Source organism: Homo sapiens, chromosome 10, assembly GCF_000001405.40.
Source record: "Homo sapiens chromosome 10, GRCh38.p14 Primary Assembly".
NCBI lineage: Eukaryota > Metazoa > Chordata > Mammalia > Primates > Hominidae > Homo > Homo sapiens.
Window position 1 is genome coordinate 128,790,433 of NC_000010.11, and position 21,837 is coordinate 128,812,269.

Here is a 21,837-nt window from a genome sequence, read left to right on the forward strand (position 1 = left end):
TTTTTTTTTTTTTTTTTTTTTGAGACAGAGTCTCGCTCTGTTGCCCAGACTGGAGAGCAATGGCGTGGTCTCGGCTCACTGCAACCTCCGCCTCCTGGGTTCAAGCGATTCTCTTGCCTCAGCTTCCTGAGTAGCTGGGATTACAGGCACCCGCCACCATGCCTGGCAAATTTTTGTATTTTTAGTAGAGATAGAGTTTCATCATGTTGGCCAGGCTGGTCTCGAACTGCTGACCTCGTGATCAGGCCACCTCGGCCTCCCAAAGTGCTGGGATTAGAGGCGTGAGCCACTGCACCTGACCAAGAATGTTAAGTTCTTTCATATAAAGTCCATTTATATGAAATTCAAAAGTGTACAAAATTCCATGACAGTGTTTCAGCATTTGCACTTGGCTGTAATTATGCTGAGAGTCGGTGTGGTAGCTCCTGTCTGGAAGCAGTGAGTTGAGGCTGGGGTCAAGCTAGGCAACTTGGGGCCTTCAGTGTTCCGTTTCTTGACCGGGGTGGTAATTACAAGGGTGTTCACTCTTAAATAATTTGTTAAGTTCTACATTTATATTTTATGCATTTTAATACACACATTATATTTCATAATAAAATGTTCTAAGAAAATGAGAATTTTTAGAGAAGAATATATTTGTCAAAATGAGTGTAATAAGCAAGTTCTATATGTGAACACGCATAACCAAACTGTAATCGTGGAAACAGTGTCCAGGAGCCAGTGCACAGAGCGAGTCACTCTACAGCTGTGCCTGAGACATGCAAAGCACTTAACGTGTGATAGAGGCATCTTTTTAAATCCATGAGCAATAGATAGGTGGATTATTTAATTAATTGTGTCAGGATAAATAGTGCTAGCTAAATAGAAAAAACTATTGAACCTAAATACTTCTCTCATATCATGTAGGACAACAACAAACACTAGATGAAATAATAAGTTCATTATAAAAATCAAGTAATCAGCAAAATTATTTTACCTTTGGGTGTATGGGTAAAGGAGGGAATTCCAAGTAAAAACAAAACAAAACCTTAGTGAGAGCGTCAATAAATCAAAATTACCATTTATGATTTTAAAACTTCTGATGTCTAAAACTTCCAATTTAAAAATTAAAAAGCATGTATCAAACTGGGAAATTATATTTTAAACCTTTATGACACACAGGGATTAATACCCTTAATGAACAAGCATGTATATATGTTGATTTTTTAGAAGATGCCAAGACTCAAGGAGAGAGCCAGAGTATTTTACAAAAAAGTAAATATTACACAAATGGATATTGGTGATGAAAAGTTCCATCTTACAAGTACTGAAATAGTTAAAGGTTAGAACAAGATGATCCCATTTGTCACCTATCAAATTGTCAGGGATTTTTAAGTACTGGCAAGGACTCAGTTGGGTAGAATTCTCATCCTGCTGACGGCCTGTCCATCAGGGAAAAGCGACTGGTCAATGGGTATCAAGAACCATCAGTCCATTTTTTCCTTTTTACCCAGTACTTCTCCTCCTGGAAGCCTATTCCAGGGAAATAATAAGAAATATGGACAAAGATTAATGCATAAACTCATGGCTTGCTGTGTTATTTGTAATAGCAATATATTGGCTATAGCCTAAGGTCCAGCACTACGGAGCAAGTTCCGACCCATCCCCTGAGGCTCCATGCTGCACCACCGGAATCCCGTTCCTAAACAGCTTGTGACACCGTGGGGAAACTCATGCATAGAATGAAGATGGGGCGGGGGCAGATCCAGGTTTTGGGGGCCTGAGCACTACACAACTTGTGTGGCCTTTAAGAGAGAGAATAAAATTCCCCAGTACAGGATGGAGCCACAGCTAGGGTCCCTGAAGTTTAAGCTTCATGTGCTTCTTAGAAATCTATCTCTGAATATTATTAAATTATGAAGCATGCTTTAAATTATACCAAAAATATTTGTAATAGAAAAGGGACTGAACTAAAGGGACAACATATGAACTTGTTGATTGAAATAATGGTCAGTACTTTTCTTCTTTGTGTATGATTCATTAATTTAAAGAAAAACACATTTTAAGTAAGGAAACAAAGTGGAGAGGGAGAGGGAAATAGAAAATTCTAGGCAGCAAAGAGAGACTGAGTAAAGGCAGGGAGACTTGAGTTTGTTCCAGTGGCAGGAATGTAACACATAGGTAAAGCGAGAGGCAGAGTCAAGGGCTGTTGGGGAGAGGCAGGCCAGGTCCATGGAGCACCACGTTCCACCATGGAAAGGTTGAAACAGGGAAACACTCTACTCCCCCAGCCCATGTGTGTTCTTTCCATCACTAGAGATTTAAGGTGTTCCTCTTGAAGCCAGCAAGAGAGGAAAAAGTCCAGTTCATGTAGGATTGTCCAAGCTGACCTGGGTGGGATTCAGGATGGGGAAGGGGCTCTGAGCCACGTAGGAGGAGAGCAGGAGGGCCCAGGTTCGGGGAAGGGAGATCCTCATGACAACACGCAGACCTCCCACCATGGCCAGGGACCACTGGCTGGAGCAGGGGATCTTCCCCTCCTGTCCAAGTGCTGCTGGCCACAACTCGCCTGATAGAGAGTCACTCTTGAAGGTGGAAGAGGAAGAAAGGAAGGCTCATCAAACACTCAGTGAGCAGAGAAGGCGAAGCCATCCACTGGAAGCAGCGCACATATCCCAGCTGGCTGCAGGACTGAATCTGTCATCTGGAGATGAGATCACGGGAAGATCTGAGCCTGCCAACTTGGGCATGGAGGGATGGGGTGGAGAGGAAGGAAGGCCTCTTAGCAAAGGTGGCTCTTGCTTGAGAAAGCATGGAGGCCCTCCTTTTCTTATTTATAAACCCAAAGATCATCCATTTTCTATAAGGCTTTTCCAACCCTAAAAATCCTAAAACTTGTCCAAGAAGCCCTTCACAGGTACCCATCCGTTTTCATTTCACAGTCCATTTTTGGTCACATGAGATAACTATAGGACACTTAGGTAATAGTAAGAGGAAGGTGAACAGGAACCATTTTCAGGAAAATAAAGTGTTCTCCCCCATCACTCACCCCAGTGAAATCTAATTATTTTTACTCCCCCATAATCTTTACTATTCAAAAGGTAAAATAGAAAAATAATTAATTTTATTAGCAAAATTTACTAGATTAATACAACTGAGAACTCCACATAAAATGTTAGCATTAAATATTAAGATATATTAATAAAATAGTAGATTAAGAAGCCTAATATTTAATACAACACATTCATTGGGGGAATTGCATCAGTTTAAGCACAAAAGAGAAAAGAGAAGATTCTAGTGACCTTTAGAAAGCACAATGGCCACGGTCACCAGCTGGAGGCTGGGCTCATCGGAAAGCAGAGAAGGATCTCCAGCAGTCAGGTTCTGGCAGATGCAGGCAGAAGGTCTCCTTGAAGTACTGTTTACCAAGCCAGCGGCAGAGTGAGGAAGTGAGCAAGGAATGGTGAAGCCCTGGGAACTAGTAGCAGCAGGAAGCTGTTGCCAACCTGGGCCTGGTAAAGGCACAGACAGTGGTGCCAGCCCAGTGAGGGCTTTGGCCACTGAGAAGGGCTTTAGGGAATGCATGGTAAGATTCTGTCCCTGCCCAGTCCACAGCCTCTCAAGAAAGGCACCAGGAGAGTCCACATCTTGATCTCTCTCTCCTCTTTCTTTAGAGCTCCTGCCAGCTCCTCCCATGGCCCACACCCTCTGGAAGCCAGAGGGCAAGAGAGGCCAGGATGCCAGCCCCACAGAGCACAAAGCATGGTGGGCAGATGTGGGGAAGGCACCAGCTGGGGTGGGGTTTCACTTTCTCATTGATGACAAATAGATCATATTTGCATTTGCCAGCGCTTCATGCAGATTACCTACATCAGAGTGAGAGGCAGCTGGAAGAAGTGCAATGCATTGAGAAACCTCTAGAAAGAGACACCAGTGCTGGAACAGGACGAACCTCAAGTGCAGGTCAGTGCAGTGCGGGTCAGTTGCAAATTTGCCTTAGCCACTGCACCATCCGCCAATCTCTGCCGACCCTGTCCTCCCATGGAAAGCAGAGGAAGGGCCCTCAGTGCTGTGCACAGGGAGAAGGTCGAAACCATGTTCTGGTGATGGCCTAATGCCTGGTGGCCTTTGGGAAAACCATTCCTGCTAGGTCTGTGACCTCATCTGAGAAATACAGGTATAGGTGGGTGGCTTCTAAGGCCCCTTGTACTCTTTGTGCTTCGTTACATGATGTACACAGGCAATGTTGTAGCTTCATGGACACATGCAGCATGCATGTCTTCAATGCAGGTAATTCTCAACAAGGGACATTTTTGCTCCACGGCTCCATCCTGGGGGTCATTAGGCAATATTTGGAAACACATTTAATTGTTCTAACTGGGTAGGCCAGGGTTGCTACTAAATATCTTACAATGCCCATAACAACAAGTGACATTGGAAGAATAAATAAGATGAATTGAAACTCAGGTCAGGGGACTTAACAGTAGCTGCAACTCAGACAACGTCAGTGACATAAACAAACAATCAAAGGATAGATGAAAGAATGAAAGGATGGATGGATGGATGGATGGATGGATGGATGGATGGATGAAAGGATGGCTGGCTAGCTGCTGGGCCCAGCAAAGTGCCAGGCAGAGGGAGATCTTTAAATATTTGTCCACTGGTGAATAATGTGCCATAACATTTTATCTGTTGTTAAAAAAGTGATATGGCTAAGATTGCTTCTATATATTTTTTCATATGTGAGTGCATCCTTCTTCAGGAGATCCCATAGGATGAAAAATCTTACAAACGTGTACTTTCCAAGTGTTATTGTTTTACGAAAGGACTCACCATTGGCAATTCATTCTCTAACTCTCAAATCTGTTGGAAGCGTAGTCAATTTATGACATTGTTCTCTTCACTAGAAACATGTCCATAGCCTAAAGTGAGATACACGTGTATTGAGTTTATGCAGTTGAACTATAAAACTTAATTGAACTCTTGGATAACCAAATGAAAGAGAGTAAAATGATTTTTTAAGTTGGATTTGAATTCGAAATGTATTAAATACAAAAGCTTGCCATGATTTTTAAACAGTATATTTTTTAAAAATGCACTTAAAATATGTTTATCTGTAGGAGATATACTAAAATGTTGCAAAGTGATTGAACAAATATTTCAGATGACATCCTAAGTATTTTTGTGGCTTTAATAACAAGATAAAGAATCACACACCTTGAAGGTTATGTCATCCACAAACATTGCTTCATAAGCTAAATATCACAGTTAGTTTTTAACACAATTGCCCTTGGTACACAAAACCAGTCATGTATGTTTTAATGCTGCCAGCCCAACATTTTATGGCAGATGTGAAAAATTGTATTTAAATTAGAAATGCTAAAATTAATATTTATTGACTTGGTGTTTCATTATCATTAGAAATTAGTTTGTTCTTGGGTAAACAGTTCATAGCAAGATATAAATATGTTCCATTGACCTATTAACTGGCCCAATATATTACGGAGTTATTGACGGCAGCAGTAAAATTTATTAACAGCCATTAAACCTTGAAACATACTTGATAGGACTCTCTCCCTGGAATACCAGGATTAGGGGTGGGTATTTTTTAGGATAATCTGCTGCTGATATTGAATTCTTCCAAGATTTTAATATATTGTCTAAGTTTATGAGTCATAAAATAAACCTAGAGCTTACAAAAATTTACATGACAATATTATTTTTTTAAAAAGGGCATGTAAATTTTAGTACAGTACAAATGATGGTATAAACCACTAGAACACATAAAAAAAGTTCCCCAAACTGCATTAAAGCAGTATTTAGGGTCTAATTTCAGCACACAAAGCCCACAGACTGGCAGGGTAGGCCAGCAGGCATAGAGGACTTCCGGTAATTACTGTGGCATATTTCCAACCAAGCAAATCCACAGAAGAAACACAGTCGGCATCCAGACTGGGTGACCAGATACACACCGGGTCCAGTAAGTGTCATCAGATGTTTTTTTGGGAGGGCAAGACCCAAAGTTTGTAACTGTCCAGATGCAAACTTTCCAGAGATCAGTATCAGAGCATCAGCATCAGAGCCATGTCTGAGGCCTGGGCTTTTTGCTTGAACCATGTGAAGAATGGCCCTTGGTAAGCTCCATGGCACTCTGCAAAGCATCTCTTCCAGATGCCATCTGCCTGTCCTCAGCTGCCGAGCAACAGACAAGTGGATGCCTATGTTGATGCCTCAGCCATCGTGCCTCTGGGCAGCCACAGACAGAGGCATTTCCCCAGGCCTCCAGCCTGAGAAGCTCCACAAAGTCCATTACTGCTGTTGCCCCTGCAAAGTCAAAGCCAAGGTCCCCTCTGGTCCTGCATCACCTGCACTACCTTAGGCTGGATATCAACGTCTTGGGTCTGCCATAGCAAAGTGCACAAGATAAGTGGCTTAAAACAGCAGAAATTTATTCCCCAACAGTTCTGGAGGTCAGAAGTTCAAAATCAAAGTGTTGGCAGGTTCGTGCTCTCTCTGAAGACTCCAGGGTAAGAGTTGTTGCTCTGCATCTTCCAGCTTGGCTTTCTTGTCTGTGGCTGTGCCATTCCAATCTCTGCCTCCACCTTCACAGCGCCATCTCCTCTTCTATCTGTGTCAGATCTCTTTTTGTCTTTCTCCTATACTTGTTATTGGAATTAGGGTCCATCTAGATAATCCAGTATGGTTAATTTTATATGCTCATTTTGTTGGGACACAGTACCGAGATCTCTGGTCAAACATTAGTCTAGATGTCACTGTGCAGGTATTTGTGATGGTAATTTCATGTGTCAACTGAACTGGGCTAACGGATGCCCAGATAGTGGCTAAAAGGTTATTTCTTGGCTGAAGCATGGTGGCTCATGCCTGTAATCCCAGCACTTTGGGAGGCCAAAGTGGGTGGATCACCTGAGGTCAGGAGTTCGAGACCAGCCTGACCAACATGGAGGAACCCCGTCTCTACTAAAAATACAAAAATTAGCTGGGTGTGGTGGTGCATGCCTGTAGTCCCAGCTACTCGAGAGGCTGAGGCAGGAGAATCACTTGAACCCTGGAGGCGGAGGTCGCAGTGAGCTGAGATCACGCCACTGCACTCCAGCCTGGCGACAGAGGGAGACTCCGTCTCAAAAAAAAATACGTTTGTAAAATTAAATACACGCACACACACACACACACACACACACACACACACATATATGCTATTTTTATAGATGGCATTTTAGTGTGCATGGGCATTGTGGCCGGCAGAATACGGGCTCTCCGAAAGCTATGAGATCCTAATCTCTGGGTCCTAGGAATGTTACTTTACGTGGCAAAGATTTAGCAGCTGTGATTAAGTTAAGGATCTTGAGATGGGGGGATTACCCTGGATCATCTGGATGGGCCATAAATACAACCACAAAGGTCTGGAGAAGAGGGGGCAGCAGGAGCTTTGACATGGACAGGAGAGGAAAAGTCCCCGTGAGGACAGAGGCAGAGACAGGAGTGATGTGGCCATAACCTGAGGAACACCAGAGCCACCAGGACCTGGGAGAGGCAAGCAAGGATCCTCCTCTAGAGCCTTCAGAGGGAGCATGGCCCTGCTGGCATCTGGATTTCAGCCCAGTGACACTATTGTCACAATTCTAGTCTCCAGAACTTGATAGAATACTTTTCTGTGTTTTAAAATTACCCAGTTTGTTGTAATTTGTTACAGCAACTGCAGGAAATGAATACACACACACGTACACACACACACACGCCCCCACACATATATACACATACACACTTAAACACACACACACATATGTGCATGTATACATAGACATGCACATAGATACATATACCCACACAAATGCACACATACACACATGCACATACACGAATACACATATGCACACACATATACACACATGCATACACATACATATACACATAAACACATGCACATGTGCACATATAGGCACACATACACACCCATGCACACAAACATGCATACATATGGACATACATATTCACGCATATGCACACATGCACATCCACACATATGAACGTACGTATACACACCTTGGAATTAGGGTCCATCTAAATAATCCAGGATGGTTAATTTTATATGCTAATTTAGGCGGGACGTGGTGCACACACATGCACATACACATATATGGACATACATATACACATATATGCACACACATGCACACAGACATACATATACACACATGCACATATGCACATATGCACATACACACATATGCACATACACATGTATATCTATGTGTATCTGAGTATTTCTTTATGTTACTTTTTTTCAGAGTTTCCTCCCAACAGTGAAGAGAACTCAGCAGTGAGCCTCTGTGGAGAAGGGGGCATTTAAGCTGGGCCCCAGACTCAGCAGAGGGAATTCTGGAGCAAAAGTGCCAAGGAGGGTGCAAGCTTGGCTCTGCAGGAACTGGGGCCATGTGACAGCAGTCTTTCTCCAATAGGATGCCCATAGCCACTATCCAGCCTGAGGTAAGGGGTGATGTGGCCAGGCACCTCACCAGTCCCCCAGTCACAGGCCCCACGAGGTCACCCCAGCCTCTGTCTTTGGAGACCTGAGAGCCTTTCACCCTGGGCAGACTTCCTGAGGGTGGTGACATTTGGCCTTAGCTATCGACTCTATGGCCTTCACTCTCCTGGTCTTTGCCCTTCCCTTGACAATGATCTTGGCATAGGACTCTGAGATGTTTATTGCCAAAATGTAAAAGCTGCTTTGATTAGGTCATGAGTATCTTTGGTTTTGCCTCAAATATCCCTGCCTTTTTCTTCCTTTGGCTACCAAAAGTTGCCAAAGCAAACGCTCTTCTGCTATGTGCACTTTCACACTTTGGGAAATGGAATCTACTGAATTGTTTTGGTACCAGGACTCAGCAAGTTTAGGGTGAAACTGGTGACAAAGGGCAGTGGCTTGTCCCTGCAAGCAGGAGGTCAAGGTCAAAGCCATCGCCCCTCTAGATCTCTTAAAGCTCCTTGCACATGGAGGGCCCCGCCTCATACTGGTCTATTTAAATCCGTGGATGGATTTGTTCCATGTTTCTCCTGCCACCAGTTGAGCTCACTATAGACCATGGTCAACTTCCCCAGAATTGGACTTAGACTTTCTATTACAAATGTCCCCACTCCGGGTTATTTTCTGGTCTTAAAAAAAAAAAAAATCCCAGCTGAGAATCAGGGTCCTGGCAGGAAACAGATGACACTCTCTGACAGAATAATCCAAGGACAGCTTATTTACCAATGACCTAACTACAGGCGTGTAAAGGCAGTAGGGATATCGCCAGGGCTTCCTACAATGGAGTTATATCTGCTCTGGGCCCAAAGGGACATGGAGAGGAAGTGGTGGTCAGAACTGGGGAGGGGTAGAGCAGGGCAGGACAGACTTACCTTGAGGGGAGCACGGATCACCTGTTGGGGGACATAGCCAGCCCTAGGGGCCTCAGAGGGAGAGTAATTTGATTCTACTTTCCAGTAGCCCTCTTTCTGTTTCTTCCATGGGGATCCTTGTGGGTTGAACCAGTGGATAAAAATTCCAAGCTGAGAACAAGGTTGAGAAGGATAAAGGGAGGACCCACCGTGGCCAACGGAGGACCTTCAGCGTGAACTGTAACCAGTGCTATTTCTGCCCCATCTCCCCAAAATAATGTCTAGCTACTTAAAGATAGAAAACAACATAGAAAAAGATAATGATGACAAAGGCAGCAGGAGGAAGGATGTGTGTTGGTAAGGAAGATAATGTAGATTCTGGCATCCACCATCATTTGGAGGAAGTTCAACAAAAACAAAAAGGACAACACAATGGTTTATACATCCTTCCCCTTGAAAGAGTCAGGACACCTTATTTCTCATGAGGAGCCTTCAAAACAAGACACTGAGCAAAAAAGTTGTTGCTGTCAGGAGCAACTAGTTGCAATGAATCCACAGTGCTGTCTCATGCCTGTGTTTTACCTTTCATACTGGCTGGAGAGTTGGCCCTGAAACACAGCTCAGTAAAGGTGAAATATACAAATTTTTCTTTGGCTCCCAGATTGTTGGGTAGAATTCACTCTAAGGACGAGCTATCTAACCATGTCTCTGCTGTTTTGCTTATTAGATATCATCTTGCTCTTATTGGCTTTGGCTAGGAGGTTGTATTAGTCAGTGTTCTCCAGAGAAACAGAATCAATAGGGTATGTACATATGTACAAAGAGAGAAAAAGAAAGATGTTTATTTTAAGAAATTGGCTCACACAATTATGGGTGCTGCTAAGTTCAAATGTGCAGTGTTGGCCAGCAGACCGGAGACTCAGTAGGGCAAACAGTGGGGATGCAGTTCCAGTGTGAGGGCAATCTGCTAGAGAATTCCCTTTTGCTTAGGGAGGGCAGTCTTTGTGTTCCATCCAGGCCTTTGAGTGATTGGATGAAGCCCACCCACATTGGAGAAGGAAATCTGCTTTACTCAGTGTTCACTAAATTACATGTTAATCTCATCCAAAAACACTGTCAACGTTGATGCATACAATTAGTCATCAGAGAAGCAGAGCTGAGATTTCAGGTGTATACCAAGATGACAGTCTGTTGTGATACTCTTATGGACAACTGTGAGAATTCAGACAGATCCACATCCTTTGGAAGTCAGAAGAAGAAACGGTGTGGGTGGCAATCTAACATGAAATTTAAGTAGCATGATGCTATCACTGGCCCTTTTCTCCCGGAGATGGCTTACAGCCATCTCTAACTTTGGTCACTGCCACACTGAGGCAACACTCTCTTGGCCACCAGTTTGCCCCACTTGGCTCAGCAGCACTGAGACAGTACTCTCTCTAGCCACTAGTTTGCACAGATGCTCTGGAGACCTGGTCCCATTAAAATCTTCCCTGGATCTTTAAGTCATAGCAACATGACCAAAAACAAACAGGTAAGATAATATTCCCGAAGAGTTGTCAGTGTTATCACCAACCCAGACAACTCGCACCCTAACCCACAGCCTTTAAGGTGAGCAACATAAGGAGATGAATTTCTTGTATTTCTCAATTTATTCAAGCGTCAACTTCAGTAAAAGATTGTGACATACCAAAAGGACTTCCCTGAAACCTTTAAATACTGTGGTTTTAAGGGTTCTACAGACTGATGGAGTCCATGAAATGGCTGAAAATCATCAAGGCTGACTTTGAATCCCCCTGGAGACCAGTAGCCTTAGAATTTTGCTTCTTCTTCTCTGCTCTCGGGGGACCCCAAAGACCCCAGGCCTGGGCCTTCTGAGAACAGGAAGGTGATGTCTGCACAGCACCAAGTCAATAAGTGTGTTGATAGTTTATTGGTGAATGTTGGCTGTGGAGAATGAATCCGAATCACTTAGGTCAAAAGATGGCTAATTCCAAACACTTTTGCTCTATGCCTGTTTTTATGGTGGCCACTCTTTGCTCTCAAACAGGGCTCAGAAGAAGAGTGCCAACAAGTTTCTCCACAGAGGGGCACTGGCTGGCATCCCTGTAATACGCGGTTTGTAGAGAATGAAAGCAGCTTTGGTTTTCTTTTGTACGAGTGCACCCAGTTACCGGCATGACACTATGGTTTCCTCGCTCGGCTTTGAAATATAGTAAACTCACAAAAGCTACTGTCGAGTTCAGAACAAACACAGGGGGTATGTTTAGTTATTTGTTTTTGTAGTAAAATAAAATATTTATTATACGCAGACACCTACTGTGAACAGAGGGGGAGGCCACTGTGTTTTATCTTGCCGGTGTCATGTTTGACTTCCATTAGGGATGGATTATAGACCTGTGGGTTTTCATGAATTCAGAAAGTCCACTTTGAACACTGATTTCAAAGCCTACAGGGGGTGTGAGGAATGTGAGAACACAGCTTTGGAGGAAGGAACCTGTTGCATCGAGCAAGCACCTTGTGTTTGATAAGGCAGAATGGAGGTTCCCTGGGAGAGAGAGAGGCCAGGATGCTTTTCCCTTAATAAGACGACTTTAAAGGAAGCTTTCCTATTGTTTCCTCCACACTTTCCTCAAGGTGTACACAATTAATTCAGTCTTGGAATCCTGAGAAAATAACCACTGTATCAGTCCGCTAAGCCTTCTCCGTCTCTCTAACTTATCACAGGGAATCTGAAAGTATTCTAAATCATCAGGGGCTCCTGGCTTCATGCTTCCACGCTCTCTGGGCTAGCTTCTCACTCTGGCATGCGTGCAGGAGCCTGCACCCACTCTGTAGGCTTTTGCACCTACAGAGAAGGGGGCCAAAATGAAGAGGATGCCACCCTTGGCATGCATCTAGGGTCCAATCACGCCTGAGTTCCACGCCTAAAAAGACTTTGACAAAAAGGAATGTGTCTGAGGGAGGGTGTCCCTGATGAGAGAGGGTAGGTGACCAGTCCCCTGAGGCAAAGCGGAAAGAACCCAGGACATTCATCCTGGAGAAGGAAAGAGTTGGGCTAAATCCTGTTGACACCCTGAAGAATGTGCAAATCTATCTTCTCATGGAAGAAAGCCTGAGTTTGGATGGTGGGTGAGGATTTCACAGAGTTGGCTTTTGGGGTCATCAGAAAGAAAGTTCTAACAGCCTTCTCAGGAAACCAGGAGCTATGCATCATTGCAAGATTGGGATTCCTTGGTAGAGCAGATGTAGAAGGCAGGAGGGTTGGGTTAACAATTGGAACAGCCACGGGACCAGACGATTCCCTGGTCCAGTAGTGGAGAAGTCATCTCCAAGGCAACTTTATAGAAAAAAAGGAATGTATCAAATGGAATGTATGAAAATATGCCGAGGGACTCCTCTGCTCGCATCAGCCTTCCAAGAAGATGGAGGAACTCTCTGGTCCTCGCCTGAACTAGAACCAAGGGACACATCTTGTGTTTCTTTTTGCCCTGGTGAGATGTCCATGACTGGATCCACTCACACCTGGACACTGCTGTGATGATCCTAGCATGCATCCTCCCTTTACCTTTACCTCTGGAGAGGAAGACCCAGAGAGCATGACCCAGACCAGACAATTTTGCTTTTTCTAAGCAATACAAACCACCTGAATAAGAATATGGACCTACTTCAAGTTATATTTCATATTTTTTTCACCACATTCAGGAGCAATAAGGAGAATCAGCAACTGTGAATCAGGAGTCTGGCTGGGGAGAAAGGCTCCAGCCTGGGCTTAGCGTTGACTGTGTAAGTGGTTTTCAAGCCACTTAGTGCCAATGGCTCTTTGTGCCAGCAAGGATGTCCTGTTAGATGCTTAATTTAGATTTTAAGAAAAGCAATCCCTTAAGGTTTTAGGATGCAGTCACTTAGTTATTTTTTTCCTTTTGCTCCCCACTGTTCTTTGTCATGCAGATTCAGGAAACCTGGGCTCTGCCTCAGGATACCTCTATGTTTGGAAGCCCCCACCCCTGCCCCCATTCTGCCATTCTGGTGGTAGTGAAGAGTGAGAACTTCTGCCCTACGCTGGGCGTTTGGGGAGCTGTGCTAGGTCACAGTCTGTCATTCCACACTTTGGGGCTTTTCACACTTGGGCATCCTTAATCACCAAGTCAGAAGGAAAACGGGCCTGTGAAACGTCCACTTGACCAAGACCCCCTTCCATCACGGGTTTCCCAGAGGCAGAGGATGCGATTTGCAGGCAGCCCCAGTGGTCAGCTCACAGCCTGGCCTGCAGGGGGAAATCAATGCGTCAAAACTGAGCTATATTGCCAGAGCCTGTCAGGCATTTTTGAGCTTGCTAACGTGAGACCCTATGCTTATGTTTACCTTTATAATTTTTACATTTCTTAGACTTTAATGGTAGCTCTTATTTGTTTATTCAGCCATTCAACAAACACTGAGCACAAGCAAGACAGAAGAGCTCTCAGCTCCTCCACATTCAATACAACAAGTCAAATGTGAGCGTGGGTGTGTCTTCACTGCTTCCCGGCAGGAATCCTAGCTGCCTGGGATCCAGGAAGCCTTTTTCCAAAACCTCACTCTCCAATCCTGAGCCTGTCCAATATGTGCCCATCTCCTGCCTGATTTGCACCCGCCTGGCTTCAGAGTGCCCATCAATTGTGTTTCAATGCATCACCTTTCCTGTTACTCCTCAGCTACTGCCAAGGCATGAGGTCTCAGCACACTTGACTACAACACAGCAGGGTGCTTGGCCATGCACTCAGCAAATGTGCCCAAAGGGTGGTTCCCTAGCAAGTCAACTGTCTGTGCATCTTGTGAAATATTTGCTGCTGGCTCCTGATTCTTCTGGAATCCTTTTCTGGATGCTGTGGATTACCTAGCAGCCAGGCTTGGCATGGGTTCTGGAGCAGGAATCCCTGAGGCAGATTAATTATGGACTTCTGAGCAGGGGATATTGATATCGTTGATATCCAGGAACAGTTTGTGTGTGGCTTCCAACCAAGCTGCAGCTAGCTTATGAGAAGAAGCAAGATTATCACCGAAGAGAGTCATGAGACTGTGGGTCTGCAAGTTGGCGCATTGTCTGGATCACTGTCCAGCTTCAGTGATAGCTGGACTGTGGCCCCAGAGCAGCTCAGGAAATCACCATGTGGAAGTTGCTGGAACAACCATAGCCACTCTGAAACCTTCACACTTGACCCTTAGAATACTTGGACCAGCTTCTGAAAGGTACATTTGGAAGGCCAAAAGGAAGGAGAAAGAGAGGAGAGGCATGGCCGGCTCCCAGGGATGAGAGCTCATCTATCTTGAGGTTTTTCTTCAATCTCCAAGGCCATGTAGAAGTGACTTGGGCACAAAGGGGTCACTCCACTCCCTTCCACCTTTCCTTGCTCCTCTTTCTAATCTGCTCTCTTTTCTTCCTAAAGTACATCATGAAAACCTGCTGCGTTTGCACTGAGACTCTCTTATTAACAGACTTGTTTTTGCCGTGGTAGTAGAAGCAGCATTATAAGAAACCATTTAACAGCCAATTCTTTCAGATTCGCAGAGAGATGCACACAGTGCTGCTCACTCTTCTGAGAAAAGCTTGAAAAGAACTTGAACTTTGCTAAAGCCTGAACAGTTTGCCCTGTGTGCTGTAGAAAGTTGCAATATCATCACTGGAAAGTTGAATTTCCTGGTTTTCCTTATCCATGCGTCAAATACATGCTATAATGTACTCCATAAGAGTGTCTTAGAATGTTTTTAAAAGTATTTGGGGGATCTGTTTTTTTCTTGATGGAAGTGCTATCTAAAATGGTGTTCTTGGCGAGGCAAGGTGGGGCACACTTTTAATCTCAGCAGTTTGAGAGAACAACATGGGAGGCTCAACACCATTTGAGCCCAGGAGTTTGAGACCAGACTGGGCAACATAACCCACGGAGGATCATTTGAGCCCAGGCTGGTCTCAAATTCGTGGGCTCAAATGATCTTCCTGCCCATAGACCCCCTCTAAAAATAAATAAGTAAATAAATGTGTGATTAAATAAATAAAATGGTATCCTTTCTGTGTTTGGTAACAGCTAGGTCCCTGAAGCATTAAGTTTATGAATCAAGCTCAGAAACTTCTAGAAGTTAAGAGTCAAAGTTCCCACAGCAACCTTCTTTGTTTCAGCACACAAATGCATGATGACAACTCTTTTATTGCCTGATTCCATAATACTAGATAACAAGAAGAACATCCTGGCTAATATTTTAGAGAAATGGCTAACTGCGTGAAGAGAGAGAGAAAAATGTATGGACACCTCATCCGACCCAGACAAGCTGAGCATCAGATGTTCTGCCAGGAGGAGCAAAGAGATTTCCAACCTGAGCCTTTGGGCTTTTCATGCCTTCACCCAGGGACATTTCCTCTATGTTGGTAGACTAGGCTGTGAGCAGTAGCCTATAAATCCAAGGTCCTGGCCTGCCTCAGTTGCTGACCTAAATAGGGTCCTATCTACAAAGATGATTTAACTTGTGCAAAATGCTTCCTTTCAGACCTAGTCCCCATCTGCTGAGTCCCAACCTCTAACTGCATGTGGCTCTTCCCATGATTGGTCTTCTTGGCTGGATGCACTGGGGCACATTGATGCAGACCATGTCATTTCTCAGACCCACAGTGACCTGTGACCTCCCATCTGACCACCTGTTCCTGGGATTAAGTAGACAGCTTGTAGTGATGGGCACACAACTGGTTCAGCCCATACTCCCTTAGTGGCTGTCCTCAGCCCCTGCCTCCACTCCCGAGTTGGGGCTCACACATCTTTCTAGACCACCCCCCCAGGAGGCTGCAGAATCCAAACACGGGCAAGAGGCACCCTGCTGGAGCTGCTATGTTGACTAAACCATTGGAGAAAAAACCATCTTGTATTAAAAAGAAGATATTATGTCAATCAGATTTAAAGTGTGCATGATATTTCACAACACAGTGCAAGATTTTCATTCAGCAAATGTTAACTGATTTCTTGCAATAGGCTGGGTACTGTTTTAGGCCTCGTAGCTAAAATGCATCAAGCACACACTCTGTCCCCAGCCACTGTCTTGAGCATTATGTGATATTCACTTAATCTTCACAAGATTAGGAGTTAGAGGCCTTTTTCAACCTCCCACGTGACAAGTGACAAAACTGAGGCAGAGCCATTTCAAGCCCCTTGTCTAAGGTCACTCAACTAGAAGGGGCTGGGTTGGACAGATTGTCACCTCCAGTGTCTGGGTGCTAAACTTGGGCTATACTGCCTCAAACCTCAGAGAAATGTGACACTTCTTTTATTTTTTTTGCCATAATTCCCAAATTTTAATAGCAATGTCAAACCTGTCAGCCTCAACATCCTTATTAAAGGGCTTGCTCTGAGCTGACCTCATCTGACACAGTCTTGCACTGCTCTCCCGAGCACACCCTCCCTTAACCCCACCAAACTCCTTGTTGAGTGTGGGGAAGTCAGTGCTTTCTGGCATCTCTGAGGCTTTGCCATTCTGTTCTCATTCTACCTGGTCAGTACCTACCTTACTGTGAATCTTTCTCGGCTTGCTCTTATGATCTTCCAGAGTCAGGGGCTCCTGAAGCACCCACATAGCCATTGATCCATCTATCTGTGGCGGCAACAGCCATCTGCCCGGGTCCTTATGATCTGCTAATTTCCTGTCTCCAGCCCAGGCTCTGAGCTCTTTAAAAGAGCAAGTGTGTGTGGTTTGCTGTTGCAGCCTCAACTACTGAGGCCACCCTCAGTATTCATTGGGGATGGGAGGACAGAGTGAACGGTTAAGTTAAGGGACACCATTTGCTGGATGTTTCATTTTGAAATGTTGAGAAATAACAAGAATGCCAACCTGAGGATGCCTGTAGCCACTCCAACACAGGAACTTCAAACACCTGTGCTTAGGAAAATGGAGGAGAAATTTGGTCTATGTCTTGGGACACTGCAAAACCCAATGGCCAAGGGACAGCTAGGTCTTAGTTGGTTCAAAATACGAATAGGGTGGCCACTCTGAAATAGGCCAGTAACAAGGAGGTTGTGGGGTGTCTGCTGTGGAACCCCTTACCTGTGGGTACCCCTGGAGTAGGTGTTGTTGGTGCCCAACCACATTCCTGTTCCCAGGCCCCAGTGTCCAGCAACCAGGAGGGCTACATCACCCCATGCCCTCCTCAGTTGCAACCAATGGCTGACAGAAATGGAGGTGCAAAGACCAGTTGTCTCATCACAAGGGGGTAGAGTTTATGCCCCACAGGTCTCCTTTGCCCCCAGGCTCCACCCGAGGCCACGTCCTTGCCCAGTACTTCCCGTTCCCTGTCTTCCTGGCCTTAGCCCTGTTGCTGTGCTCCTGAAGTGCATTCCCTCAGTCTCAGCCACATTTGCCCAAATCCCTGCCTCAGGGTCTGCCTCTGGGAGTCTGACCTAAGGCGGAAGCACTGTGAGGGAGCCCTTGTGGTTTAAGGTGTCGCAAACAGACTACAGAGCACAGAGGTACCCTTTGGCCAATGAAAATCTACCCACTGAAAAGAAACCCATGCTTCAGATATGTGAACAAATAGCAAAATATGAGGAAGGAAATATTACATTCACTTAAAATTTCCATAAGGGTAGAGATAGCCAGAACACCAGTTATAGATACTGTGTTAATTAAAGACTTTGGATCAGTTTCCTAGGGCTGTTGTAACAAATTACCAAAACCTGGTTGCATAAAGCAATAGACCTTTATTGGCTCATTGTTCTGGAGGCCAGAAGCACAAAATCAAGGTGTCGGCAGGTGAATTCCTTCTGCAAACTCTGTGGGCGAATCTGTTCCCTGCCTCTCTCCTCTCTGCTAGGGCTGCCACAGTCCTCAGTGCACCTTGATTTCAGATGCATCGCTGCTGCTGTGCCACCTCCATCTTCAAAAACCCTTCCTCTCTGCCTGTCCCTTTGTCTTCCCTGTTCTTAGAAGGACTCCTGTCAATGAGTTTAGGGCTTACCCTAAATCCAGTCAAGCTCATTTCAAGATCTTAACTAATTCTTCTGAGGTGTTTTTTCCAAATAAGGTTACATCCACAGGGGTATCCACAGAGTGGACATGTCTTTGTGGGGTGGGAGAGAGAGTTCAACCCATGACAAATGCATTTGTCATCTAAGGCCCTTTGCCAAGATCCAAAATGGTAGATTCAACGTGTTCTGGACAACTAAGCTTCCTTCCCCCTGCTCCACCCACTGGTCTGCTGGGACAAAAGGCTGTGTCCAAAACCACTCACAGCAAACTGCTCTCCACCATTGCCTGCCAAGTGTAATAAAGGGCTGCCCAGGTGCCAAGAGTCCAGCAACCATAAAACAGCCATCCTCAAAATGAGATGACTCTCAGAACCCTTCCACAACAGCCAGCGATACACAGTTTGAAAACTGAGAGTCTTTGAATGACTAAGAATTTGGCCCTGAGTTTATTCATAAACCTCAATAGCCAAGAAAGATTTACATGAAATCATCAGAGTTAAAAAATCCCACACTCTGCCCAACATATTCAGCTTCTCATTCATTTCCTTTTCGCCTTTCACTTTTCAGTTTCATCAATCATGTGTGTCTTGCCTCTGAAGTCGTAATTTACCTTGAAAGCCACTGGAGCAGGCACCACTCATGTGACTGCAGGACCACAGGGCTGAGGGCATCCTTGAGAACTCAACTTGAATGTGTGGCAGACTTCCCATCACCAAGCCATCCCTATGGACCCAGGGTGAGGCTATCTCTGCCACCAACAGTTCTGGTTTTGGGTCTTTCTATGGTTTAAATGTCCCCTCCAAAACTCATGTTGAAACTTAATCCCCAATGTGACAGTATTGAGAGAGGGATCCTATAAGAGGTGATTGGATCAGGAGGGCAGAATGCTTGTGAATGGGCTAGTCCATTCACAGGTTAATGGATTAATGGGTTAATGGATTAATGGGTTATCATGGGAGGGGACCTGGTAACTTTATAAGAAAGGGAAGGGAGATCTGAGTGACCGACCACCTTTGCATGCTTAGCCCCTTGCTGTGCCATGACTTGTGATGCCTCTGGAGCCTGCAGAGAGTCCCCACCAGCAAGAAGGCTCTTATCAGATTGGGCCTGTTGACCTTGGACTTCTCAGCCTCTAGAACATCAATAAATACATTTATTTTCTTTATAAGTTACCCAATTTCAGGTATTCTGTTAAAAGCAACAGAAAACAGGTGAATACGGAGTTATCCTTACATTTGTTCCTGTAAAGTACCCACTCCACTCCCTGAGGAAAGGCATGGACTGTGCCAAAGGGGGCTTAAAGCACCTTGGAAAAGGCAAGGTTTTCCAGCCATGTGGCCATGGCCATATTAGAACAATTACAGTGGTTTGTTGTCTGTGTCCAATGGCATAGTCTTACTGTGAAGACACAGAGTGGGCATTGGAAAATATATCACAGCCCTTGTGAGTCAGTGTGCAGCTTAGCAGGAAATGCGTGTGTGTGCCAAGAGTGGGCTCTGCAATGCCTGTGTAGCTGGGTGCTGTGTCCAGATAGAGAGACGAGATCCATCACACTTCCTTCAAAATTAGGAGCTGCTAACGTGCTGTTAGTCATGAAGTAAAGAGTCTAAAACATAGTGGTTTTCCTTTAAAATATTATCTCCCATTTGATTAATTTGGTCAATAAGAAGCCAAGTGAGAGCTGTGTGGTGATTTGTTTCAAAATCAAAGGATTTTATGTGTGAAAATAGGAATTATGGCTCTGATTATGATATTATCATTAATACAATTATTTTTAATTAAGAATTTTTATTAGACCTCATCAACTGAAGTAATGGATGTACTGTGAAATAGATTTACTTCCCCCAGATGAAAGGGTCTGCATTATGACCAAAAGCCAAGGAAAAGATGTGCATTTTTCCTGTTTTAAAGACACTACAGCCACCTTTCTGAAGGGCCAGATAGGGTTCTAGTTCATGTGGAGCATTTCCCTAAAATTTGCCACTTTCCCAGTTTCTGACCAGAGAAATCGAAGGATTAGGCTGGAACTCAGGGTCTGTCTGGGCACCATGTGAGCAGGGATGATGTAGATTTTCAATCCTTTTGTCTATTTTTATTTTTATTTTTGAGATGGAGTCTTGCTCTGTCACCCAGGCTGGAGTGCAGTGACACGATCTTGGCTCACTGCAACCTCCACCTCCCAGGTTCAAGCAATTTTCCTGTCTCAACCTCCTGAGTAGCTGGGACTACAGGTGCCCGCCACCACACATGGCTAATTTTTGTATTTTTAATAGAAACGGATTTCACCATGTTGGCCAGGCTGGTCTGGAACTTCTGACCCCAGGTGATCCGCCCGCCTTGGCCTCCCAAAGTGCTGGGATTATAGGCGTGAGCCACCACACCTGGCAGATTTTCAATCTTTTTGGATGCACTGGGTCTGACCTGGAAAGATGATTAGCTATGGGACCATCTACCCTCCGTGTGGTGTGGTCAAAAAGTCTTTCTTTGACCTTTTCCTGTTAGGGGTGGTTCATCACTTGGGGGGCGAGTCTCCGGCTATGTGAACCAGGCAGGATTATTTGCAGTTGATAATCCAGAGCCAAAACTGCCCCCACTAAGCAACACAAAACTCACTTTAATTAATGTCAATATATTTCTTTACATCCACAGCCTCTTGGAAGAGCTAACGCAAAACAAACCAAAGGGAAAAAAAAATCTCAATTGTTTGGGGGATTTTAAGAGAATTCTTTAATATCAGATTAAGCCCATTTTGATTGTCAATCTATTTTCAGCTCAACATTACCAAAGCATATTACAAGAAAACTCCGTTTTATGAAGTGACGGTGATTTACATCTTTCTGTCTCTGCTCTTCCCCCCGACTTCCTCTCGCACACATTCCCTCTCCAGAGGATTTGAAAAGAAGCCTGGAGCTATCCTTGTCGGAGCTCCAGGTTCATCCCACAGACTGAGGAGCTTTTCACAAAACACCATGATTTCCTAGGGTTCCACTGCAGTATCTGGAAAGAAAGATGGTTTTCGGTCTGAACCGTGAGGGAAATGGAGCTCGCTACTTCACAGAATCATCATCATCGTCATCCTCATTCCCATTAGGATTAGAATTGGGTATTCTCTAAAAATCCAAAGTCCGTGACTACCCAATTTCAGCAGCCGTTTTACCCCCATGAGATTGCAACACAGCAAGATCCCACACGTGTGCCTATCTGGGCTGCGTGTGTGAAACTCTCCAGCCCCATTTCTGAACTGAGAGGAGGATGAAGGGCCCTGCAAGGCGATTTTTGCAGGAAAGTTGGAGCTGTGCCTGACGCAGGCTGGGTCTGCAGGCGTTTTGGAAAGACACTCGCCCTGGAAAGTGCAGTACGTCCTGGGGATGTTGTGTAAACACTCGGAGCCTCTTTTCTGCACGGGACCGCTCAGTTCCCGGTTTCCATCTCACAGATTTTCAGGTCTGTTCTGAGGCCCATTTGGCCCCGGGAACATAAAGCAGTG

General features: G+C 44.8%; 1 long non-coding RNA gene across 1 annotated transcript in view; it reads left to right on the plus strand.

Annotated features, from left to right (window-relative positions):
• LOC105378555 (uncharacterized) overlaps positions 1 to 21,210 on the plus strand; it is a 29,689-nt gene extending 8,479 nt beyond the window's left edge. The window contains exons 2-5 of the long non-coding RNA XR_946460.3: positions 3,829 to 3,942; positions 8,286 to 8,484; positions 18,918 to 19,086; positions 21,122 to 21,210. This is a non-coding gene — a long non-coding RNA (uncharacterized LOC105378555). The remainder of the gene's footprint in view (positions 1 to 3,828; positions 3,943 to 8,285; positions 8,485 to 18,917; positions 19,087 to 21,121) is intronic.
• The last annotated feature ends 627 nt before the right edge of the window (positions 21,211 to 21,837 follow it).